We start from the raw sequence: 27,154 nt of genomic DNA, 5'->3' as shown, positions 1-27,154 counted from the left end.
GTGCTTTCTACTTATTAGGGAATTCTTGTGTGTTCACTCATTTTTTCTATAATGCCTTTAATACCCATGCTTTTTCATTAACAAGATGACTCAAGTGAGTATAATATTTAGAAATATTTTTTAAGAATCTACTTAGTACCATTTTATCTTCTAAAAGACATTTTCATTATTTTCTATGAATGACTTTTTAATATATGGTTTTTAAAAATTTTATAGTTTCTTTAAAATATGTAAGACTAATATGTTTCCAAATTGTAGTTGTAAGTATAAGGTCATTTTATAGAGTTCAAAAATCACAGCTCTTTGCACACTTTTAGATCCTACAGTAAAGTATTGGGAAATGAAGAGTATTTGTTCAGTCCTTTACGATGGGTCTATTTTAGTGCATTTTAGTACTGTTCTTTACCTTACTTTAAACTTCTGTTCTTAATTTATATGATTACCTACCCTACTAAGCCTAAGTCTCTGTGATGAAAGAACAGTATCTTCTTCACAATACCCAGCATAGACTAATAGGTACTCATAAGGTGATTGTTGGTAAACTTTTTCTTTCCTGTACTTCATGTTTTAGTAAACTTAGTACTTTTAGGAAATACAAGTGTTGGGTGGAAAACAGATATTAATACATTTAGTGATGTTTGAGTCTCCTGACCATTTTACATTTACTGATTCTGATTTATCACCTAGTTGTCACACTGTGGAAAGATGAGCCTCTAAATTTGGGGCAGAAAGAACCTTTTATAAATAAGTATCATTTTATTGTATTCTTGATGCAGCATCCAGCGTTGCCCAAGTCTTTTATATTTTGTAGGGATGGGTAGTTTTGATTAATTCAGACTGTGACTTATAATATTTTTTACATGAAATGGTAAGTGATCAAGATTTCTTTTCATAGGCTACGGAGAGTGAGGTAGGAGATGTAGATTTGACACGTCTTCCAGAAGGACCTGTTGATTCTGAGGATGACGAAGAGGAAGATGAAGAGATTGATCGAACAGATCCATTGCAGGGGCGAGATCTTGTTCGAGAATGTCTTGAAAAAGAACCTGCAGACAAAACTGATGATGACATTGGTAAGAAATATATGTGTTCACAATAAGAATTTGTAACTTAATTTATATGGTTACCTATTTCTGCATAACAAATTATTCTAAAACTTAATAAATGTGTGTTGTGTTAAGCCATTATCTTAGAGTTTTTGTGAGTCAAATTTAGGAGCACCTTAGCTGAGTGGTTCTGGCTTGGTATCTCCCATGAGGTTGTTGTCAGAATTGACACAGGGCTGCAGCCATCCAGGTCTTCCCTGGGCTGAGCTGTAGAATCTGTGTCCAAGATAGCTATTCAAATGGCCTTTGGTGCATGACCTTCAGTTCCTCATGTGGGCCTCTGATAGGCTGCTTAATTGTCCTTACAACATACTTAAGGGGAACTTAGGCTTCCCCCTAAGTAAGTAATCCAAAGGAGAATAAGGCAAATGCCACAGTTTTTTATTATCTGTATTCAAGAGTAATGCATCATCACTTCTGCTAAATTCTGTTTGTTATACCAGGTAACTCTGATACAGTATAGAATGGGTCTGTACAAGGACATGACTATCAGGAGGCAGGGATCACTGTGAGCCATCTTTGAGGTTGGCTGCCACAATATATAAAATAAAAGCTTTGATTGCATTAAACTGATTTTTCCCTTCATGTCTATAAGACATTTAAAGCACAAGCATAGTACAATGTTCAGTGTCTGTGAATTTGCTTTTTGAAAAACTTGCAGATTTTTTAAAACCTTATATTTTTATTTCCCTAGCTTAAATATATGTATGTTTTGTGTGTACTCTTATTTTTTTTTTTGAGACGGTGTCTCACTCTGTCGCCCAGGCTGGAGTGCAGTGGCGCAATCTTGGCTCACTGCAAGCTCCGCCTCCCGGGTTCACGCCATTCTCCTGCCTCAGCCTCCTGAGTAGCTGGGACTACAGGCGCCCGCCACCACGCCTGGCTAATTTTTTGTATTTTTAGTAGCAATGGGGTTTCAACGTGTTAGCCAGGATGGTCTCGATCTCCTGACCTTGTGATCCGCCCACCTCGGCCTCCCTAAGTGCTGGGATTACAGGTGTGAGCCACCACGCCTGACCATGTGTACTCTTAAAACATTATAAATTTTTTTATGTAATATTTTACAGAACTAGTTACCATACTTTAGTTGGGAAGTTGAATGATACTAAAGATGTTAATGTTATCTTTAAGATGCAAAGATCACTTAGTGTCAAACATATATTGTTAGGATTTAATTAAGATTTTTTTCTTAGATTGCATTTTTATAATAGCTACCCTTCCAATTAGAAGATGCTGCTACTATTAAAAATCATTTATGTGAGTAAAGATCAATGTATTTGAACATTCCTTGCCATTCTAAAGATATAATACAGTTAAATAACCTGCAGTGTGGATTTATGTTATGAACGTTATCTCGACAGAAACTGAAAGTGCAATTTTACTGATAAAGAATTGTATACTATACTATTTTCATAAAACTTTTTAAAAATTGAAATATAGCTAATTCCTATGTCCTATGGATATATAGCACCTTATAGTTATTCTTAATCTCTTTGCTGACTGCTTATATGTGTTTCTTATATTTATACCTTCCTTACACATATATCCATACCAGGGAGTGGCCTGAGGCACTCATAAACATTTGTTAGTTAAAGAGAGTTACCTAGTTAGTTAGACAAATCTTGAGCTAGAATTCACATTTATTATCCCTGTTTTAATTACTTTTTGGATTTTATTAATGGCATTTTTAAATACTTTTGTTTAGTAAGAACTAGACAAAAGACTTTTTCACTAACCTATTAGATCAAAGGCCATAACTAAACCCATGGAGTGGCTAGGAATATTAGATAAACGCTCCGCTTTCATCTGAACCTGTATGGTCCTTGTTCTCTCTGGAGGTTGTGAATTCTGTTATCTTCCAATATGCCCAGGTTTATATGTGAGTCTGAATATACATATTAATCAAATAATTGATTTTAAAAATCAACGGTCAAATAGTACCTTAGTTTCTCTACTTTAGCAACATAAATTTATAAGTTGATTGTGAAATTGGGAATTGAATTCTAGATTTCGTTGTATTTTTAAGGTATAGTCCTCGATGGTCTTTATACCAGAATTTCTGTTTTCTTATAGAACAATTGCTGGAGTTTATGCACCAGCTCCCTGCATTTGCAAACATGACCATGTCTGTAAGGAGAGAACTCTGCTCAGTGATGATTTTTGAAGTGGTAGAGCAGGCTGGAGCTATTATTCTTGAAGATGGGCAAGAGGTAGGTCAATAAATAAATTACATACATTTATTATGGATACTAACTTTTAAAATAACTTAATTTCCATAAATTTGTCCTGATTTTTGAGTACTGATTTTTGAAATTTATACAGATTTCTTAAATAAATGCCAAGTTTGAGTTAGTTACAATTTCTGAAGAGGTAAGTTTTTGTTTTTGCTTTGCCCTAATTTTAAATTTATTCGCAGTAGACTCTGCACAAAGTCAGTGCTCCATAAATAATATTCAATGAACCAAATGTTTTTACTTCTCAGATTACATTAAATTTAAATAGATGAAATAGATTTAAAAGATTCTTGAATATTTTTCTATTTGTATAATTATATCATTATTGTTTAAAATGTTTATCAAGAATTTTTCTTATTCCTTATTTCTATTATACATTTAAAAGAAAAAGAATGAGGAACATGTGTTGGTACCAGTGCATCCTAGGGAACTGCTGACAGTTGAAGCGTTTAGGTGACAATTCTATGTTCAAAAATGCTCGGATGACAGCTTGTGGATGGGTGGAGGAAGGATGCAAAGGGATTGGAAGGTATTATTGCCATCAGGAAGTGCTTCATTATTTTTCCTATCAAATGTACTCATTTGATTAATGCTGAGATATCAGTAAATGAACATTGTCTTCTAGTGGAAATGTAAATTGGTACAGCATTTCCAGATAATTATTTTAAAATTCTTAACATGGTCCTCCAAGTATTCACAGCTGCTAGCCTGTTATTCCACTTCTGAGTGTCTAACCTGAGGAGACGTGTAGAACTCAAAGAGTTATTTCAAAAGGTGTTCATTGCAGTACATTTATAATATAAATTATATACTTATATAATCTATAAGTAAGTTATATATAATTACATAATTTCATACTATATATATAATATATAATATTACATATATTATATATATAAGTAAAAATTGGACATAACCAAAACATCCAGTGATAAGCGATGGTTAAGTAAATTATTATATAGCTGTAGGTTATAATATATAGGTATCCAAATTATTTTTAAAATTATTTGATAGAATATCTTTGAGGATCCCTGTCTCTAGGCTCTGTTTACATATTTTCTCCCCGTATCCTAGAAAACATCTGTCATAGAGGATGGACTCCCCCCAAAAGTTTGATGAACAAATGAATATAGTATTAATTTTTTTAAACAGGATATTCTAAATATTTCAATAATATAAAATATATACATAAGAGAGAAATAAGCTTTAAACAACTGAATGGAGTGGGATTTTAAGTAACTTCTATTTTATACAAGTTTTTGCATTCTCTTAATTTCCAGTTGTATCAGCAAAAATTTGTTGTATGCCTACTTTGTGCCAGGTACTGTTCTAGATACGGGGATATAGTGGTGAAAAAGCCAGATACACTCCCTGTCTTCCAGTAGCTTAATCCACAAGTTGTGTAGTGAGTATATCTTATTTTTAAAATAATAAAGGTATACTTTTGAAAAAAAATACCTTATTGCCATTGATTACCCTTCAGAACTAACCATCTTGATTTCCCTTAAATCACATTAAAACTATTGAAGGTTCAGGCTTATAAGAGGGTTTGATATTAAAGGAGAATAAGTGGTCTTTCACTGATATATAGTAGATCTTTAAAATACATCTTCTTTGGGCCAGGTGCAGTGGCTCATGCTTGTAGTCCCAGCACCTCAAGAGGCCTAGGTGGAAGGATCACCAGGAATTCAAGACCAGCCTGGGGAACATAGCAAGACCTGTCTCTATTAAAAAATAAATTGACCAAGCATGGTGGTGGACACCTGTAGTCCCAGCTATTCAGAAGGCTGAGGCAGGAGGATCACTTGAGTGCAAGACTTTGAAGCTACAGTGAGCTATAATCATACCACTGCACTCCAGCTTGGGCAACAGAGCAAGACCCCATCTCTCAAATAAATAAATAAATAACTTCTTAGAGCATTAAATATTTCCATATAAATGAAGGCATTATTTTCTTAACGTAGGAGAAATTTTGAATCTTTTGTTAGATATGCCTTAAAATTCAGGCTTTTAACTAGTCTTTCTGAAATAATCATTAGCTATCTATTTTTTTTCTTAAATGTTTGCTTTTTGCCAGGCACTATTCTAAGCACAGTGTATGTGTTAACTCATTTAATTAACATAATAGTTCTATGATAGATACTTTCCATATGACCATTGTAGCAGTAGAGAAACTGAGGCCCAGAGAGGTTAAATAATTTACCCAAAGTCATTCAGCTAGTTGGTGGCATGGTATGGATTAATATTCCAAGAGTTTGTGCTCTTGAACATTACACTATTTTGTCTCAGAATCTGGTCAGTTATGACAGTTCTTGTTTGGTGACTAAAAGAAGAAAGAGTAAAAATAAACTTTAGTAGTTTGCATAGACTCAAAGCATAGGGTGTTACAGAGTGTTTGGTAATATAACCAGATCCTCCTTTTTCCTTTTTATTCAAGTTATATATATTGATAGATTCTTTTTCAAAGTTAACATGTAACTACCTTTTTTAAAAAGATTCATAAAACCTTTGTTTTTCTCTATAGCTTGACTCATGGTATGTTATTTTAAACGGCACTGTGGAAATCAGTCATCCAGATGGAAAAGTTGAAAATTTGTTTATGGGAAATAGTTTTGGAATTACTCCCACTCTGGATAAGCAGTACATGCATGGAATTGTCAGGACTAAAGTAGATGATTGTCAGGTAAGATTATCTCTTTGGTCAAGTCTTCTTGTCTGTTGGTTTAAAGTAGCTGAGCCTGTTTTGTCTTCCTCAAAAGAAAATAGCTTTATTTGAGAATTAGGAGTTTCAATAGCTCACAGTTAATAAAGGAAAGTAGATTTTGTATCTGCCTCAAATATTTGTGGCATTTAACAAGCTATAAGTTTTCAAAAGAGATTATACCAAATAAATGCTGGTTTGTTACATTTCTATTTGATATTAGCCAGCTCAGAGTCCTTTATTTAAAAAAAAAAAAGGAAAGAAATAGGAACTTCTGAGTTGTTTGTTTCTAACTTACTCCTGCTTCATATGTTCTTTACATAGTGTCAGTTTTGAGAGAAGTGGAAGTTCACTTCTCCTTTTAAAGAGCAAAATTCAAACAGATTAGACTTCTTTAGTCTCTTCATACGTGAATTGTTTCACCTTGATTTTTGTTAAAGATTAAAGGAATTAAGTGAAAAAGAACTAATGCCGCTAGATTTCTTACCTTTGTGCTCTGCATTGGTACATAGTGATATATTTATGTACTATAGGTTCATTAACTGTCCCCATGTTGTTCTTGGACAGTTTGTCTGCATAGCCCAGCAAGATTATTGGAGAATTTTAAACCATGTGGAAAAAAATACCCATAAAGTTGAGGAAGAGGGAGAAATTGTTATGGTACATGAGCATCGGGAACTAGACCGGAGTGGAACCAGGAAAGGACACATTGTGATCAAGGTGGGTGTTTTTACTTATTTTTCTAGTCACTGATTTTATTCTATCATCAAAGCTTTCATCTTGTTTTAAACCATTTTTTAAGTAATGCAAGATAATTCATTAACACTTTGGCATCTAACTTAAATGTTGACTCTTTGTCTTTCTCTAAAATTTTTTTTTTTTTTGTGATGGAGTCTCACTCTGTTGCCCAGGCTGGAGTGCAATAGCACAATCTCAGCTCACTGCAACCTCCGCCTCCCAGGTTCAAGCGATTCTCCTGCCTCAGCCTCCTGAGTAGCTGAGATTACAGGCATGCACCACCATGCCTGGCTAATTTTTGTACTTTTAGTAGAGGCGAGGTTTCACCATCTTGGCCAGGCTGGTCTTGAACTCCTGACCCTGTGATCCTCCCACCTCGGCCTCCCAAAGTGCTGGGATTACAGGTTTGAGCCACCATGCCTGATCTCTAAGATGGTTTTTACACATTTTAATGATGAAGGATGACTTATTGCCATTTAATATCAGAGTAGGTAGGGTATTATTTTAGAATATACTGGTCAGAGTTTTCCTTTTCAAACTTAATATTGTATGCCACTGAGAGCGGGAGTCAGTTTCATCAAAGACTGCAATATTTAGAAACAAAACAGAAAATTTAAGGACCAGTCATAAAAGCATAAGTAATCCTAGATTAAGATGCAGAGTGCTTCTGGATCTCTGTGGCACTGAAATATGCATTGACTTCTCTGAACCTCACTTTTCTTATCTGGATATGGAGGTAATTCAAGACTTTATTAGGGCTAAATGAGGTAAATCAAAAGCCTTAGCACAATTGTAGAGTCTGAGTATTAACCCCCATACTGTTTTCCCTTCTGTAAGTTCTGCCCTCTCCTAATACTTGCCTTCTCACCTCCTTTTCTCTTTAAAGACTTGGATATAAACTGAACAATTATAGTTGAAAGAGGGGAAATAAACACATAACTGTTTCTCTTTTCAAGCTAGTCTTGGCGAAATTATTGCCACTATTAATTGCAGATGAAGCAGTTTACTTAATAATATGAGGGAGTTAAATCAGAGAGATAATTTGAAGTCTGATGTCATACTTCTTCTTCCCTTAGAGTCAGGCTATTCCTCAGAGATCTTTCTTTTCCTAAACAGATGAGTGTAAGCTTTGTGTGTAGAAATGATTAACATACTGGTGGAATGCCATAGGCTTACACATATACTTTTTCATTTTAATTCATTTTTATCTTTTTGTGAGGACTCATGTGTTTTAGTAATTTATTTCTAAATAATTTCAAACTTTATAGAAAAGTTGCAAGAACAGTAGAGAGATCTGTCACTGATTCCTCAACTGTTAATATTTTCACTGCATTTGCTCTATTAGTCTTTTTTCTGAACGATTTGAGAGCAGTCTGCAAATGTGATGCCTCATCACTCCTAAATATCTTATTGTGTATTTCCTAAAAACAAGGACACTCTCTGACATAAACACCATAGAATCCTTCAAGTTAGGAAGTGAACATTGCTAAAATAAAACCATTCAGGGCCGGGCATGGTGGCTCATGCCTGTAATCCCAGCACTTTGGGAGGCCAAGGTAGACAGATCATTTGAGGTCAGGAGTTCGAGACCAGCCTGGCCAACATGGTGAAACCCTATTTCTACTAAAAATACAAAAATTAGCTAGGCATGGTGGTGGCCGCCTGTAATCAATCCCAGCTACTCGGGAGGCTGAAGCAGGAGAATTGCCTGGACCCAGGAGGCGGAGGTTGCAGTGAGCCGAGATCACACCATTGCACTCCAGCCTGGGCGACAGAGTGAGACTCCGTCTCAAAAACAAACAAACAAAAACAGATTCAGTCCAGAAACCCTATTTAGATTTTCACCAGCTATCCCAATAATAACTTACTTCTGGTCTAGAGTGTTGTCCAAGAACACAGTTGCATTTAGTTGTCATGTCACTTCAGTCTGTACCAGTTCCTCAGTCCTTCACTGTTGTTAATATCCTTAGCAGTTTTAAAGAATACAGATCATACATCCTGTAGTATTACCCTCCACCTGGATCTTTCCAGTATTTCCTCATGACCAGATAGATTCAAGTCATGCTTTCCTGGCAGGAGTTCACAAAACTCAGAGGGCACACAATGTCAACCTGTTGTCCTACCAATGGTGAAGTTAGCCATGATTACTGATCATGTTGGTGTCTGTCTGCCCAGTTTCTTCAGTGTAAAGTCATCATTTTACCCTTTGTAACTGATAAATATTTGGTGGAGAGATGTTCTGACAGTATCAAAATACTATCCTCAGACTTTTAGTTTATGTATAGTATGCACTGAATACAAACTTCTATTCGGCACTTTTTACTTCCATTACTATTCTTGTCTGAAATGGTGATTTTAAAAATAATTTCTCATGCATTTATTAACTCATTGTATTGAAGGAATGAACTGTCTTGTCTTCATTAATTTATTTATATTGGTATAAACTTATGTTACCATCATTCTTATTCTGATCCTCAAATTGTCCCAGGTTTTAGGTAGTGGGACTCTTAAACTGACACCTGTATTTTTTGACATATCCCCATCATTTGAGCACATCCGTATAATCTGGCAAATAATAAGGCTCATCGTGAACTTAACTGTACCAGCTCTGGAATTAGCCATTTCTCAAGAAGACCCTGAATCTTTATTCATTGTTACTGAAGTGTCATTGCTTTTAGAGTCTTTCATCAGAGCTAGGAAATATATGTATGTATTTGTTATAAACACATACACATCTATAACTTTATATATATATTAAACAACCATGAGTTACAATTCCACTACTACCTGTACCTCCAGTTCCAGTACCAGCACCACAGTTTTCCCTAGTCTATTCCCTTCTATATTTGTAAATACCTTCTCCAACAATGCCTCTTGTTATACTCTGTATATTATTTGCTCATTGTAAGCAGTTTCTACCATGCCAGTATAACAACACCAGCCATCTCTTCTGCTTGCTACCTCTGTGCACCCTGTCTCCCAGCATCCCACCTTCTAATATATTTTACAATAGATTTTAAACACTGTGTTGATTTTTTTAAGTGAAAGTTCAGAACATCAAAAATACTTGAACATAAATTTGCCGTGAGTTTATACACACCTTAAAATGTTTCCAGATTCTGATTGCATGCTGATGGGTTGCTTTTGTGACATAAATATTGAAAATATGTTATTTTTACTGTACTACAATCTTCACATTGAGATTTAATTGCAAATCATAACCATCTTTTGCTCATAGAAGGATTGATCATTTGATTTTTTTTTTTTTTTTGGAGACAAAGTCTCACTCTGTCACCCAGGCTGGAGTGCAGTGGCACGATCTTGGCTCACTGCAACCTCTGCCTCCTGGGTTCAGGCAACTCTTGTGCCTCAGCCTCCTAGGTAGCTGTGACTACAGGTGCATGCCATCACTCACAGCTTTTTTTGTTTGTTTGTTTGTTTGTTTTTGTATTTTTAGTAGAGGTGGGGTTTTGCCATTTTGGCCATTTGGCCGGGCTGATCTCTAACTCCTGACCTCAAGTGATCCTCAGGTCAAGGCCAAGCATGGTGCCTCAGACATGTAATCCCAGCACTTTGGGAGGCCAAGGTGGGCTCCAGAAGTGCTGGGATTACAGGTGTGAGCCACCGCACCTGGCCTTGACTTTCTGTTTACACATAATCACACAGAAAGCAGTTACTACTTTTCATTTCATTCATTTCTTCATTCAGTTCATTTCTTCATTTATTCAACAACACTGACTTTATGGTACTCTATGCCAGGCCCTGTGTGAGATCTGGGAGATACTAATATATACTTAGATTCTGCTATCAGTGAACTCACAGTCTTTTGAGAAAGACAAGGCGATAGTTTCAGCATGACTTGATAAATCTTAAGATGGAAGAGCAAGAGAGACATAAAAAGAGGGATCTAAATTAGGCTAGAAGAAATAGCAAGAAGATATAGGGAGGAAGGGTGGCCAGACAGAGACATATGCATGTGCTATATAAAATTGCATAATATATTTAAGAAAAAGCAGGAAATTTGTGTGGCTGGGATCAAGGGCATTTTGAGGTAAGATAGATTTTAGTCTAAAGAGGTAAGGGCTCATCTTTAAATAAAATTTAGAATGCATGACCTAGTCTCTATAGGGACCCTGCCTCTGTGATTTTGCCAGTCAGAATAATGGCCTAACATGTTGAACAGTTCCCATCCCTCACTCAGCTATTCTAGGAAATGGAATTAAGTGAACCTAAATGACCCTAAACCAGGATTGGCCTGAGTAATAAAACAATTTGGTACTCTTAGGCTTAGAATGTTTTGGAGGATAGGAGAATAGGAATGACCTATGATTTTCTTATCTCTTAAGGAGGTTGTTTCTGAGTTCCTTCTAGAGAAACGATTTTCGTACCTTATTTTTAATTAATAAAATAGGGCCAGGCACAGTGGCTCACGCCTGTAATCCCAGTACTTTGGGAGGCCATGGAGGATGGATCACGAGGTCAAGAGTTCGAGACCAGCCTGACCAACATGGTGAAACCCCGTCTCTACTAAAAATACAAAAATTAGCTGGGCATAGTGGTGCATGCCTGTAATTGCAGCTACTCAGGAGGCTGAGGCAGGAGAATTGCTTGAACCCAGGAGGCGGAAGTTGCAGTGAGCTGAGATCGCGCAGCGGCACTCCAGCCTGGGCGACAGAGCCAGACTCCGTCTCAAAAATAAATAAATAAAAATAAAGTACCTTTTAATAAATAAAGTACCTTTTTATTTTTAATAGATTCTTAGATAAAGAACATTGTTAGTATTAATGTATGTTTACCACACAGTTATTCTAAACAATGAAATTGTTTGGATGACTGCAACAAATTGAAGGTTGGGTGTTATGGATAACAGTTTTTATATCAGGCTTAACATCTTGTTTGTTTCTGTATTTGTTCTTGTACCAACCTTTGAAAAAGCTACAAAGGGTAATAAACATTGGTTCAGAAGCTCAAAGAAGAGCAGTATGGAAATTTTTGTTTATATTCTTTTTTTTTTTTTTTTTTTTTTGAGACAAAGTCTCGCTCTTGTCGCCCCAGCTGGAGTGCAGTGGCATGATCTCCGCTCTCTGCAACCTCCACCTCCCGGGTTCAAGCAATTCTGCTGCCTCACCCTCCTGAGTAGCTGGGATTATAGGCGCCGGCCACCACACCCAGCCAATTTTTGTATTTTTAGTAGAGACGGGGTTTCACCATGTTGGCCAGGCTGGTCTTGAACTGTGGACCTCAGGTGTTCTGCTCTCCTTGGCCTCCCAAAGTGCTGGGATTACAGGCATGAGCCACACCACGCCCAGCCTGTTTATATTCTTTTATAAAGTTGGAAACAAGCATTTAAAACTCTGAATTAATTTCAAAACTGTCTGTAGAACTTCTGGTTCCTCTCAATATGGTGACCTAGCATGGAGAGGAAACTGTATGAGAGGAACTGTAGAAAAGGAAATATTTATTCTGGGAAGTAACAATAATGAAACAGGCTCTCTTGAACTGGTGTGTTCTTCCTACAGCCTGGTCAGAAAAGATTTTTGAGGTGGATTAAATTTGGAGAAAAGCTTTCTTTTTTCTTTCTTCCCTTTCATTCCTTTCTTTTTCTTTCTTTCTTTAGTTTAACTTTCACCTCTTTTGTTGCCTTGAGACAATAAATACATGCCCTGGTTGTAGGAGAAGTGGCAGTAACAGCCCACACCAGGGCTAAGTTAGTGAAGTTCAAAGGTCCTGCTATGATGAAATGCCAGTGAAAACAGCTTCAGCTGAGTGAGTGCTGTTGGCTATTTATTTCTCTGCCTTTTCTGTCTCTCAACCTCTGGGTGCTGGTGGATTACAATTAAGTTTGCATTCCAATTCTCCCAGCGCTAAGGATTTAAAGGCGAAACTGTACTTTGACGATTTGTCTAATGGAGTAGCTACAAAGCGGAGTAATCAACAATAGTTCTTTGGTTCTTGGGTCATTTGTTTATTTTCTAATCCTTCCTATCCTTGGATTTTTAGGCAACACCTGAGCGTCTCATAATGCATTTAATAGAAGAACATTCCATCGTGGATCCAACTTATATAGAAGATTTTCTATTAACTTACAGGACATTTCTTGAAAGTCCTTTGGATGTTGGGATCAAACTATTGGAATGGTTTAAGATCGACAGCTTAAGAGATAAGGTTGGTTTTATAAGGGGCATGAAAGTGATTTTAACCCAAAATTTTATTCATGAAACTTTTATAGTTGATAGATTACCTGTTTATTATGATAATAAGATTCAGTACACCTAAAAAAATTAATGAACCTGAACCATCAGTATAAACATTCTCTGCTTACTTTTATGACAGAATAGCATGCTAAAAGTGGACGAGAGCCTTAAAAGGCAAAAACTGAAATAAAGCTCTGGTATAGCTATAGGTTCAGGAAACATAATAGTTACATGAGAGTATTTTAGAATTTTACTGAAATACTTGATTGTTTCTGGAGATCAATAAAACATTTTAAAACGGATTTAATATTTTAGAAAGAATATTCATCAAATACATTTTTTTAAGAGGGCAGATTGCTTTTAAGCTTCAAAATGGGAATATTTTTATTTTCTTGAGTTACAGACTTCACAATCATTTGAAAACAATTTATCAAACCTTAATATGTCTCTCCTGTGACTTATTTAAATCTACCTTTTGAGTATTTTTTTGTATTAAATGTTGTTCACTATTTTAAATAAATTAGCTTATTTCATGGGATATGTTTGCACATTTAATGGAAAGACTAGTAATACTTCCACAAATTGGTAAGAAATAAGTTGTTTCAAGAAAATAAAAGTAGGATCATAATTGTCTGGTGTGTCTTTTTGAGTTATATTTTAAAGGAAATAAACTAGTTGCAGGTAAACTGCAGAATTCTTTTATTTAGGAGACTAACATCTAAAACTACAGGCTTGCACACCTCTCACCCTTTTTCTTAGAATTAAATATATTTACCTTGGTTGCCAAGAAAATAAAGGCATGCTTTGGAAATGAACAAGAATATGATTTAGTGATAATTATCCATATGCAAAAGAATGAAAATGGATTACCACCTTATACTATAAACAAAAATGTACCCAAAATGGGTCAGAGACAGAAGAGCTAAAACTATAATGCCTTAAAGATAGGGGTAGATTATCATGGCCTTGGATTTGGCGTTGGTTTCTCAAATATGAAAATATGATACCCAAGCACAAGCAACAAAAGAAAAAAGAGATAATTGGACCTCATCAAAATTAAAATTATTTTTGCATCAAAGGACACTGTCCAGAAAGTTAAGACAATGCACAGAATAAGAGAAAATTATATATCTGATAAAGGTTTAATATCCAAAATACATAAAGAACTTTTACAACTCAACAACGAAAAGACAGCACAGTTTAAACATGGACCAAGGACTTGTATAGACATTTCTCCAAAGAAGATATGTAAATGGCCAACAGGCACATGACAAAGATGTTCAGCATCATTAATCATAGAGATATGCAGTCATAACCTCAATGAGATACCACTTTACACCCACTAGGATGGCTTTTAAAAAGGGGGAAAAAAGAAAAAGTAACAAACATTGCCAACGGTATGGAGACATTGAACCCTCCTCCCCACCCCCACCCTACACACATTGATGGTGGGAATGTAAAATGGTATTACCTCTGTGGAAAAAACAGTTTGAGCAGTTCTTCAAAAAGTTAAACATAGGGTTACCATATAGCCCAGCAATTCTAATCCTAGGTAAATACCCAGAGAATTAAAAACAGGTGTGCAAACGAAAACTTGACGTAAATATTCGTAGCAGCACTATTGACAATAGCCAAAAGGAAGAAATGACCCAAATGCCCATCATGGATAAACAAAATGTGGTATAGCCGTACAATAAAATATTATTCAGCCATAAGAAGAAAAGAAGTACTAATACTTACTACACCATGATGAACCTTGAAAACATTAAGCTAAGTAAAAGAAGCCAATCACAAAAGGCTAGGTATTGTATGATTCTATTTATGTGGAATAGCCAGAACAGACAAATAGACAGAAAAGCAGACTAGTGGCCGCCAGGGGCTGGAGAGAGGGCAGAATGGGAAGTGAAAGCTTAATGAGTTTGAGGTTTACTTTTGGAGTGATGAAAATGTTCCAGAACTCAGAACTAGACAGTGGTGATGGTTACACAGTATTGTTAAGGTACTAAATTATGAACTTTAAAATCATTAAAATGATGAATTTTATGTGGATTCTACCACGATTTAAAAAAAATGACTCATTTCTTACATTGTTAGGCATGTTATTCAAATCAGCTTACATTCGTTAATTTTTAACTTTTCTGAAGCAAAGTAAACGATTCTGCAGTTTGAAAATTTACAGTGTTTATAATGAAAGAAGTTTCAGATTTGTAAGGGTTTTTGTTTTGTTTTTTAATTTTTATAGAGACAGGGTTTTGCTATGCCCAGGCTGGTCTCAAACTCCTGGACTCAAGGGATCCTCCTTGCTTCAGCCACCTGAGTTGCTGGCATTGCAGGTGTGAGCCACTGCACCAGACTCAGATTTGTTTTTGTTACCGTTTTGGTTAAACATGTTCTTGACCATGGAAACGCTTTCGGTATGGATTTTTGATTGATAGGATTGCCTGCTTTATGACATGAAGTTTGCATTTTAAGGTGCTACCTGAAATAGACATTCTGTGTACTTCTTTTATCTTAACAAACAGGCTTGTGTCTTCTCACTGAGTGGACAGTGTCCTGGCTCTGTTACTTCTGTGCACAGGGAAGCAAAAGCTCAAATTAAACCATGCCTTTCTGTTAGAATGAGCCTTTTTTACACAAGGGAGGGAACAAGAGGGTTGTCAGTTCTTCATGAGTTTTAGACATGCTTTTGGAATCCACTTGTGCAGAAGGAATGCCTCTTATAACCATATGCTGCCTCTTTTATGTTTCCACAGGTGACACGGATTGTATTATTATGGGTAAATAATCATTTTAATGATTTTGAAGGTGACCCTGCTATGACTCGATTTCTAGAGGAATTTGAAAAAAATCTGGAAGATACAGTAAGGCTCAAAATAATTTCTATTCTTCAGAGTGTAGTGGTCCCCCCTCAACACTAGCAAACTCAGAACAGCAATAGCTTTCATTCTTTCCTGTGTCTTAAATGTCCATTCTTAGAACTTCCGAATCTGTATTCTAGACTTTTGTTCATTTATTCTCTGCCACCTCAATTAAAACAACATTTACACTCCTTCCTGACTCTTCCATTTATTTTTTATTTATATTTATTTATTTATTTATTGTATTTATTTGTTTTTTTTTTGAGACGGAGTCTCGCTGTCGCCCAGGCTGGAGTGCAGTGGTGCAATCTTGGCTCACTGCGACCTCCGCTTTCCAGGTTCAAGCAATTCTCTCCTACCTCAACCTCCTGAGTAGATGGGACTTCAGACGCGCACCACCACGCCCAGCTAGGTTTTGTATTTTTAGCAGAGACAGGGTTTCACCAGATTGCCCAGGCTGGTCTCAAACTCCTGACCTCGTGATCCGCCCGCCTCGGCCTTCCAGAGTGCTGAGATTACAGGCGTCTGAGCCACGGCGCCTGGCCCAAATCTTCCATTTCTGTATTGACATTCTTATCTCTTAGTTACTCAGGCTTATAAACCTGGTGTTATATGTGTACCCTCAGTCTCTTTTTCTTGAATTCCCTGGCCAGGATTTCCAGTCAGTTGCTAAAGTCACCTAGGTCACTGATTTAGTCATACACATGTATGTTCACATATTTTCTTATGGTCTCTCTCAGCCATTTCTTTTTTACTCCCTAGTTTAGGACTTAATATATCTGATCTATTATAATCTGCTCACTGACCCTAGTTCTAGTTTCTCTTCTAGTTCATTCTGTGTGGCCAAAAGATTGCTTTTAAAACACACATGTGATGACTATTATTTTCTTTGTCAGTAATCTATACTTCCTACCAAAGCAGTTCCTCACCCATATATTCAGGTCCCTTGCCTACCTTTTTGCCCTTTTTCCTGTGTACCCTAGATTATAGCCAAATCAGACTATTTTATTTTCCAGTTCTGCATCCAGACCATGCTAGAATTTTCTTTTCCTCACCTATTGAAACTCTGTTTCACTATCAGTGCATATCCTAAATATCAAATCTATATTGACTTTCTAGGTTTCCTTTCTATATAGGATTCATCTGTTCTAAATGTACAGCACCTAAGATAATTCCCTCCAAGTCCACAGTAGCTGTTCGTGAATTCATTTTAAACTCCCTGTCAGATATAAAACTTTGAGCTGTGACTTGGTTGCCTCCTTCAAGCAACTTGAAATTTTAGGAAATAAGTAGTAATGCAGCATAGTGTTTTAGGAGTACAGCTCAAGCTCCACCATTTGCTAGATTTGTAAACTCAGACATTGCCTGATCTTATGCCTTAGTTGTGTTATTTGTAAAGATAGTAGTTCCTAGTTCATTGAGATTGTTGTAAGGATTATAATGAGCTGAGAGGCATAACAGTCTGTACACAAAACCTGTGACATAGCAAATGCTCAAGAGCTGTAATTAATTACTTACAGAGCATAAGTGGATTGAGTTGAATGAAGTGGGAAAAATTGGCAAATTTGGTCCCTTTCATTACCCCTTGGTTCCTATTGACTTCTCGGCAGCACATGTGCTCTATACAAAATGGGGAGAGTGAACAACACTGGGAACTTGATTAAAAGGTTATAGAGGTACTCCACTATCATTTGAGTCATCCTGTGTTGGCTTTGTAAATATTCAAGGGACATCAGAATGTGGGAAAAAAAGTCATGGGATTTTTTTTTCCAGTAATCAGTTAGCCATCAGGTATTCATTGCATTCTACTTTATACTCAAAGACATCAATGTAGGATCAGAACAGATGTAAGACTTGGTGTCTGCTTTAAAAAAAAAAAACTTTAGCTTTTTGTTATGGACATGAGATTTGCACATATTAACACTATTTGAGATAATTGAAACTGGAATTAGAACTGGTAGACTATTACTGAGTTTAAGGAAGAGCTAAAATAATACAAGAAGGAAGTCTTTTCTGGACGAGATGAAAACTTGAATGTTTCTTTGAACATTGGACAATATTTAAAAAGGTGGTTCAAGTTGTTCAAGGTTTTGAATAAAGGTTTTAAAAGATTCTGGTTTTATATAACAGCCAGGAGATAAGCAAGGTGGGAGTAGAGTGTGTATTAGGAAAAGTTTAAGAAATGATAAGTAGGTCGGGCGCGGTGGCTCATGCCTGTAATCCCAGCACTTTGGGAGGCCGAGACAGGCGGATCACGAGGTCAAGAGATCAAGACCATCGTGGCTAACATGGTGAAACCCTGTCTCTACCAAAAATACAAAAAATTAGCCGGGCATGGTGGCGGGCGCCTGTAGTCCCAGCTACTCGGGAGGCTGAGGCAGGAGAATGGCATGAACCCGGGAGGTGGAGCCTGCAGTGAGTCGAGATCGCGCCACTGTGCTCCAGCCTGGGCGACAGAGCGAGGCTCCGTCTCAAAAAAATAAATAAATAAATAAATAAATAAATAAATAAATGATAGGTAATTTTTTGTCATGTCTCTGTAAATGAGACATCACTTGGAAATCTACCTATGATAATTTAAAAGTCTTATAATCATATTTAGAAATCTTGTTGAGAGTGCTTTGGCGTGGGAGTGCCCCCTTCTTCAATTTTGTTTACCTCAGCTTATACATGTATATTTATAACTCTAATTCTAATAATTTTCGTTGACTTTTTAAAAACCTATAGGAATAGATACATTTATATACATTTATCCTTTTCTGCTTAACAGAAGATGAATGGTCATCTCCGGTTATTGAATATTGCCTGTGCTGCAAAGGCTAAGTGGAGACAGGTTGTGCTGCAAAAGGCTTCCCGCGAGTCCCCTCTACAATTCAGCCTTAATGGAGGGAGTGAGAAGGGATTTGGTATTTTTGTTGAAGGAGTAGAACCTGGTAGCAAAGCTGCTGATTCAGGACTGAAACGTGGTGATCAGGTAAGGAAATAACCAACCACTTATATTCAAGCCTTCTTAAAAGTATTATGCCTGCTGCTTTTGTTCTCATCTTCCAGAAAGCATGATCAGTTTAAGGAAATATTTTTCTGAGCCTTTTTTTAGAGGTAGTATCTGCATATGGTTTATTTTTAAAAGTATTTGTCATATATTTATTACTTTTAATGGAAAATTTGGTGTAGTATGGCCAGAAATAACATGGTCTACTGAGCTCTATCAACATGACCTCCTTTGAATGGGCCTGCCTATCCTTCATGGATTAGGAAACTGTATAAGCTGGCAACTTGAGAATACTCCAGAACGATCAATATATGAATTAGCACCCTTGCAGGTTTTGAAGAAGACAGCACTTCTACCTCATAGTACTCTCAAATGTAAGTGGCTGCAGATTACTGAAGGTTATGGTAATCATTAAATTATGTTCATATGGTAACATAACTATATCCATAAGCAAAGTGAGCCAAATGGGGGACTAGGAAAAAAGACACTCTTAGGAATTTGATGGTGATTTTTATTTTTTGGTATAGGCATTAGGTAAGTATAGAGCAGCCTATTCCAAATGTGATCTGCTGGCAACTTTGTTACATAAAAAATGTAATTCTCAGGCTTCTCTCAATCCTGTTAGTCATATTGCCCACATTCTTAAGCAATGATGTCTGAACATCTGTATTTTTAACAAAGCTCTCTAGATCAGTGGTCCCCAACCTTTTTGGCACCAGGGACCAGTTTTATGGAAGACAGTTTTTCCACGGACCAGGGAGTTGGGGCTGGGGTGATGGAGATGGTTTTTGGATGAAACTGATCCACCTCAGGTCATCAGGCATTCAGACATTAAATTTTCATAAGGAGTGCCCTAGATCCCTTGCATTTGCAGTTCTCAACAGGGTTCACACTCCTATGAGAATCTAATGTCACTGCTGATTTAACAGGAGGTGGAGGTCAGGCGGTAATGCTCACTGGCCCACTGCTCACCTCCTGCTGTGTGGCCCAGTTCCTAACAGGCCATGGGTCTGTGTCCTGGTGGTTGGGGACCCCTGCTCTAGATGATTCTCATGTACTTCAAAGGGTGGTTTCCCAAATCTGCCTGATCATCAGAATCATTTAGGAAACTTGCTTTCTCCCCATTTAAAATTTTGTTCTTTCATTTTAGAATGTGGCTTTATTTTAACGGAGCCATGTTATCATTTTTTAAAAATTATGAGCTCATTCATATTATGAAAGGTTCTACACTCTAGAACAGTGGTTCTCAACTAGTGGCAATGTCTGCAGATATTTTTTATTATTATGACTTGGGGATTATTACTGGCATGTTGGTGGACAGAGGCCGAGGATGCTGCTAAACAGCCTACAATTCCCAGGACAGCTTCCACAATAGAGTTTTCTGGGCCTGACCCCAGACTACTCATTAGGAATGTCTAATAGCTAGAATCCTGTAATCAGTATATTTATTGTTCAGTTATTTGTATCACAGACACATTTAATAATCTAATTCACACACACACACACACGTGAAATCATTCTTGAGAATGAAATTTATCATGCTTTTACTTCTTCCTTCAATCTTCCCAACTACTGTTGAAATGATCTGAGATTTTAGATCTACATTATTGTTACTTTTTAACATTATGTATCTTCTGTTTCAAGAAGGCTTTTGATGTTTGAGTTAAGTTTCATAAGCTTTTAAACAAGCATTTAGACATTTACACCTGCTTAACTGATTTCATTGATCACTTTTATTTCATTTGCACTGTATATCCCCATTATTTCAACTCATTTCACAGTTGTCTTTGGTACTTCTTTTAGTACTTTTTTAAGGAACAGATGGGTGATACAGTATTATATGTTCTTGCCTTCCTGAAGATACTTGTGTTCAATAGAGCGTAACATTTTTTTCCCACAGTGACTTTTCCCTCAGAATACTAAAGTCACAGAAAGTTATCACATCAACTTAATGTTGCCCAAGAGAAGTCCAAACTCTTTGCGCTTCTTTTGTAGGTACCTTTGGGTTATCTTCCCACAATGATGTTTATAGATTCTTTATTCTTTCTTCTTGGAACAAAGAAATTTCATTGGGATATGTTTTTAAAAATAGATCTCTTTTTATTATTTTTGCATGGTACTAGATGAGACATTTTAGTGCATAGATGCAAGTCTTTTTTCAACTCTGGGAATTTTACTTCTATGGAATTTTTTTTTCTTTCCCTAATATTTTTTCACTCTTTTTCTTATCCTTTAGAAATTTTTATGTTGATCCCCTAGATCTGCTCTCTGTTCTGACTAGTTTTTGCTCATTATATCTTTTTATCCTTTTCCCTTAGAATCAGTACTTCTTGAAATAAACTGCTTCTATGATTCTGAGGTATAGCCAAATTGGGGAAGCCCTCTTGTGAAGGGTCAGCAGTGTTTACCTGGAAGAAGAACCCATTTCAGTTGTGCTTCTTGCTGTTTGGCTGCCTGATTCAATCAGTGGCAGAAAATCATATTAAATATATTTAGAGTACTCCCTTTAAAAGAATTACCTCTCTTTGAAATTCAGTAAATTTACATTGAGAATATTTGACAAATTTGTATATACATTTGCAGGCAATAATTTTTATGAGCTGATCTGCCATGATTAAATGTTTTCCTTTGTAAACCATCTGGTGTGGGTATTTTTTAAATTTCCTCAGTATGATCCCAGAGGGCATTAACTGTCAAAAAAAAAAAAGTTTATAGTAAAGAATTTGGAAAATACAACAATATAGAGAAAAAGAAAAACAGTAGTCCAGCTTCTCACAGAGATAACTGTTGTTCACATAGGAGTACATTTTATTCAAGTTTCATTTTATTTATTCACTATTAAACTTTTAAGGTTGTAGGAGTAACTAATACTGTTCTGTATTAATTTGTATTTTTTAAATACTTTTAAGATTATGGAAGTAAATGGACAAAACTTTGAGAATATTACATTTATGAAAGCCGTTGAAATTTTGAGGAATAATACTCATCTTGCACTTACTGTGAAGACCAACATTTTTGGTGAGTTTTGTTGTAAAAATTGCCTGAACTCTTTCTTCTTAATTTGGTAATAGAAAAGTCATTACAGTGGAAGAAAAGATAGTAAAATATAAACATGTTTTTGTCTAAGCTCTTCAGCTAGTTTCAGAATCTTTAGTTTTGAACTATTATGTATTCTAGAATTTTCATTTTTCATTATGTTTTTAATTATTTTGATAGTAAGTTTTAAAATAGGTGTACAGCTACCTTCAGTTATTTATGAAATTCCTATGGAGCGTGTATTATGTACTCTGCTGGAGGGATACTGAATGAAATATAGAATGTCCGGAATAAAACTAAGAAGTCATAATCAGGCATTTTTTCCCCCAGCTAGTGTGCAAATTAGTCTACTTCTAATCTTTAAGCCAGCTTTCTGAAGTAATATGAATGCCAGATTAGCTGTTTTATGGAAATAAACTGAGTAAAGCATTGACTTAAGTACTTAGTGAATTACAGATTTCTAATAAGAGCATACTCTACCTTTGTGTGGAAAAATGATTACAGTGCCTCTGTTGTGTTTTTATCATGTTTATATTTAAATAAAACCAGTGACTAAGCTCATACTTTTAACCAAATCTACTGTGTGTTTTTTTAAACTTTTAGGAAAGATTTAATGTGATTTGATTGCCTTAGACACTTTAGGATTTTTCAGAAATTCTGAAAAGAGTAACAGTAAAAATCATACAGCAATTGAAATAACAAAGAAACTTTAAGAGTCCTTATGAAGTAGGGAGGAAAACAAATCTCTCTAGGTTTTTTAGGTTACAATTTGAGAAGTAAGAGTTGGCTTTAAAAGCTATGCCTACGGAAGGGAAGTGTGAGTTTTATTTTTTTCACTTTGGCTTTTTATATTGTGCTTAGTCATAATGAAAAATGAAACGTGGGGTTTTTCCTCTTTTTGAGTCCCTTTGACTGAATTACATCATGTTAAATCTGGTAAACTGTCAATTGGCAATTTAGTATTATATTACTTTAGCATAGAATAAGTAAGTAAGCCTTCAGAATTTTTTGATTTCCTGGAGTTTCGACTAATATCTAGAAATGCCAACTTTTAGGTTAAATGAAAGAGATTTCCAGTTTCGAAAAATAAGAAAGCAGGACTTGCTCTCTTACTTTGAGCAAATTATTTAGTCTTTCCAAGCTTCAGTTTCTCTAGCACTATTTCCTAGGTTTCTTCTAAGTATCTAATACCTTTAAACCTTTTGTACCCGTCACATAAAGATTACTAACTGGTATTAAATATTCTGAATAAAAATACAGAGATAGTGTGAACCCCCATGAACTCTGGGACACAGAAAAGTAGATCTGAAGGATGCAAAAGACAGAAGCCATACCCTCAGAACCCTTTGAGTAGTGGGAAAACAGTTGGCCAACAGAACCCTAGGTTGGATATAGCAGAGGGTAGAAGTTACATGGAGCTGCAAAGGGGGAACATAGCAGTCACCTCTTTCTTCCTTACCCTAGGAGGAAAGCAAAACACCAAGGAGAAAGCTAAATACCTCATGTTTAGATTTAGAAAATGCACCCAGAGAAGAAAACAGCTGGCAATCTCAGTTTACTCTCTTTCTATTCTGGAATTTTAATTTATCTATTAAATTACAAAGGAATATTTGTAAAATATTTGTAGAAATGGAGCATTTTACTCTAGATGTGGTGATGCCCCTAATAAAGCCCTAATAACTCTGGCATTACCATGAAATAGAGTTGAGCAGTTAGGTTGTCCTGTATCAAACTTACAGTGAGGACACCTACAAAAAGGAAACCTGTGACCAGAAGACATTGGTTCAGTGATACTGAGAGGTGAAGCCAGCTGGACTTCCTGGGTCAAGTAGGGACTCGGAGAACATTTCTGTCTAGCTAGAGATTGTAAACGCACCAATCAGCACTCTGTAAAAACACACCAATCAGCGCTCTGGGTCTAGGTAAAGGATTGTAAATGCACCAATCAGCACTCTGTGTCTAGCTAAAGGATTGTAAATGCACAATCAGCACTCTGTAAAAACGCACCAATCAGTGCTCTGTGTCTAGCTAAAGGATTGTAAATGCACCAATCAGCACTCTGTAAAATGGACCAATTAGCACTCTGTAAAATGGACCAATCAAGCACTCTGTAAAATGGACCAATCAGCAGGATGTGGGCAGGGACAAATAAGGGAATAAAAGCTGGCCACCCCAGCCAGCAGGGGCAAGCTGCCAGGGTCCCCTTCCACCCTCTGGAAGCTTTGTTCTTTCATTCTTCACAATAAATCTTGCTGCTGCTCACTCTTTGGGTCTGCACCACCTTTAAGAGCTGTAACACTCGCCGCGAAGGTCCGCGGCTTCATTCTTGAAGTCAGCAAGACCATGAACCCACCGGAAGGAAGAAACTCCGGACACATCTGAAGGAACAAACTCCAGACACACCATCTTTAAGAGCTGTAACACTCAACCGTGAAGGTCTGCATCTTCATTCTTGAAGTCAGCGAGACCAGGAACCCACCGGAAGGAACCAACTCTGGACACAATACTAGAACAAACCATTCTCAGTCCTTTTATTACTTAAAACTGACGATCAGGGATCACCAAGCATAAGGAGAATCAGGATCATTGAGAGGGTGTGGTAGAGACCTAATGAGTGATCTTATAGATTCTGGAGAAAATATTTAAAGGAGAGAAGAAAAACATTTCTAGGACGCTGCACAGAGCAATTTAAAAATTTATCCCTTGAGAGGCAGAGCTTGCAGTGAGCCGAGATTGCGCCACTGCACTCCCGCCTGGGGGACAGAGCGAGACTCTATCTCAAAAAAAAAAAAAAAAAAAAATTTATCCCTTGAAACAAGAACAGGATATTAGGAAAGAATAAACAACAATCATTGAGAAAGAAGTAACTCTTACAGACAAAAACATTTGTTTGAAAGAATAGATAATAAAGTTGAGAAAAATCTCCCATACTATGGAACAAAAAGACAAAGTAAAATTAAGCTCTATTCCAGGATATCTAAAAGAAAATGTAAGGAAGAAGATGTTTAGGAAATAATAGCAGAGAATATCCCAGAGTAAAAGAAGGATGTGACTCTCGTATTTCAAAGGCCTCACTATGAGCTGAGGAAAATGTATTAAACAAAACTTGTGTCAACTTTCTACTTCCAGTATTGACTGAAGACAACTTAAAAGAGCTAGACTAAATATGAAAAACTATAAACAAACATAACAATCCAAAAAGATAGTGAAAAACTCTGGATGTGTCAAAGCCTTTTCCCACTCCTGGGACCATATCCCAAAGTGATGTCTCTTTTTCCAGGGCCATTTTCCCATCCGTAGAATAAAACTGAGAGGAGCTCCTTGATAAACTTACAGGTTTGTAGTTTAGTGCCCACCAAAGGATAAAATAGTAGCATTACAACCTTTGTTAGGATTGAGACTTTGAAAACCTCTCTCTGAAGTGGATGTGCGCTGTACCTAACTGACCATCTAGGTGACCAAGAAAAACTTACAGTTTTGGCCCTGGACTTAGATTATAGGTGCCTGACAAAAGAAAATAAATATGTTCTTTAGAGGATACTAACAGCAACTTGTTATTTCTAAAAATAATTTTTTAAAAACAGAGTCAAGCAAAGATTATGAGGCACTCTTAAAAGTCAGTATGAGCCAGAACCAACAGAAACAGAAGCACAGTTGCTCCAGAATATCAGACACAGATTTTAAGTTTGCTATCTTTTATGTCCATGAAGATAAAAATCAAATTAAGTGTTCCATTTCCAGATAAGATGGAGTAAACACACACCACCCTTCATCTCTCACTGAACTTAATAGTAAACCTGGACAGAATCATGACCCACTTAGCTGAGAACTCTGAAAAGCAAATAGCAACAGGCAATTCGCAGAAGAATACCATAATTCAAAGTACCACTACCAGCAATGAATTCACTATTATTTTAATTCTAGTATGCCCTAGGTTGGACTCAAGGCAACCTAAAACCTGGATGTGAGTACTGTGGTACAGACAGAGATCCAGGAGAAGCCTGGCTTGAGGAATGAGAAAAGGGAACTCCTACTAATAGCAGTTGTCCTGTGGAGAAAAGTGACACTGCTTTTAGGCTTCATTGAATTCTAGTTTTCATGCAAGTGCTCACAGCCATCTAAAGTTCTCTCTCTCCTCGAAGAGTCCCTCTACCTGACCCACACCTCATGTTTAGATTTAGCAAATGCACCCAGAGAAGAAAACAGCTGGCAGTCTCAGTTTACTCTCTTCCTATCCTGGAATTTTAACTTATTCCTCTTGGCTTCCACAGCTTTCTAAAATCTTTAAAAATCCCACTTCTAGCCAAGCATGGTGGCTCATGCCTGTAATCCTAGCAATTTAGGAGGCTGAGGCGGGAGGATCACTTGAGGCTAGGAGTTCCAAGACCAGCCTGGGCAACATAGTGAGACCTGGTCTCTACAAAACACTAAAATTTAGCTGGGCATGGTAGCATGCACCTGTAGTCCCAGCTACTTGGGAGGCTGAAGCAGGAAGATCACTTGAACCCAGGAGTTCAAGACTATAATGAGCTGTGATTGTGTCCCTGCACTCCATCCTGGGCAACGAGCAAGACTCTGTCTCTAAACCCAAAAATCCCATTTTTCAGATAACTTGTCTTTTTAAGTTTTAATAAAAGTAGTAAGTGCATATATTTTGAAAACTAAAATACTAAAAATAGATATACAATGGAACCATACTGTGTACAATATTCTGTGCTTTTTCACATCAGTTCATACAGACCTACTTGTTATATAATTTTTATTATTACATAGAATTCTATTATTACCATAATCTGTTGAGTTAATGTCATATTGATAGATATTTTAGATTGTTTATAGTTTTTGCTATTAACAGAGATATAATAAAAATTCTTTGTACTTTTATGCTCATATAGATCCACCTATATGATACATTTCTCAAAGTGGAATTACTTTTGACAGACACTGCAGGGTTTTACTTTCTGAAAGTTTATCACGATCTATGCTTCATTCATCAGTGTATAAGAATGTCTTGGCCAGGCACAGTGGCTCACGCCTGTAATCCCAGCGCTTTGGGAGGCCCAGGCAGGCAGATCATGAGGTCAAGAGATTGAGACCATCCTAGCTAACTCTGTCTCTACTAAAAATACAAAAATTAGCTGGGTGTGGTGGCATGCACCTGTAGTCCCAGCTACTCGGGAGGCTGAGGCAGGAGAATCACTTGAACCTTGGGGGCGGAGGTTGCAGTGAGCCAAGATCGCACCACTGCACTCCAGCCTGGCAACAGAGCAAGACTCTGTCTCAAAAAAAAAAAAA

At 36.6% G+C, this 27,154-nt stretch overlaps 1 protein-coding gene across 6 annotated transcripts in view; it reads left to right on the top strand.

The window, feature by feature from the left end:
- The window catches only part of RAPGEF6 (Rap guanine nucleotide exchange factor 6), a 211,309-nt gene that overhangs the window by 123,843 nt on the left and 60,312 nt on the right, over positions 1–27,154 (top strand). For all 6 annotated transcript variants that reach the window (NM_016340.6, NM_001164388.2, NM_001164386.2 and 3 more), the window contains exons 8-15: positions 896–1,073; positions 3,180–3,316; positions 5,865–6,023; positions 6,609–6,761; positions 12,780–12,944; positions 15,727–15,834; positions 18,602–18,805; positions 21,733–21,841. In NM_016340.6, the coding sequence (NP_057424.3) occupies positions 896–1,073; positions 3,180–3,316; positions 5,865–6,023; positions 6,609–6,761; positions 12,780–12,944; positions 15,727–15,834; positions 18,602–18,805; positions 21,733–21,841 (1,213 nt within the window). The remainder of the gene's footprint in view (positions 1–895; positions 1,074–3,179; positions 3,317–5,864; positions 6,024–6,608; positions 6,762–12,779; positions 12,945–15,726; positions 15,835–18,601; positions 18,806–21,732; positions 21,842–27,154) is intronic.

The sequence above is a fragment of the Homo sapiens genome, chromosome 5, assembly GCF_000001405.40.
Source record: "Homo sapiens chromosome 5, GRCh38.p14 Primary Assembly".
NCBI classification, from domain to species: Eukaryota; Metazoa; Chordata; class Mammalia; order Primates; family Hominidae; genus Homo; species Homo sapiens.
Note: the sequence above shows the minus strand (reverse complement) of the source record. Positions and strands in the feature narration are given on the sequence as shown.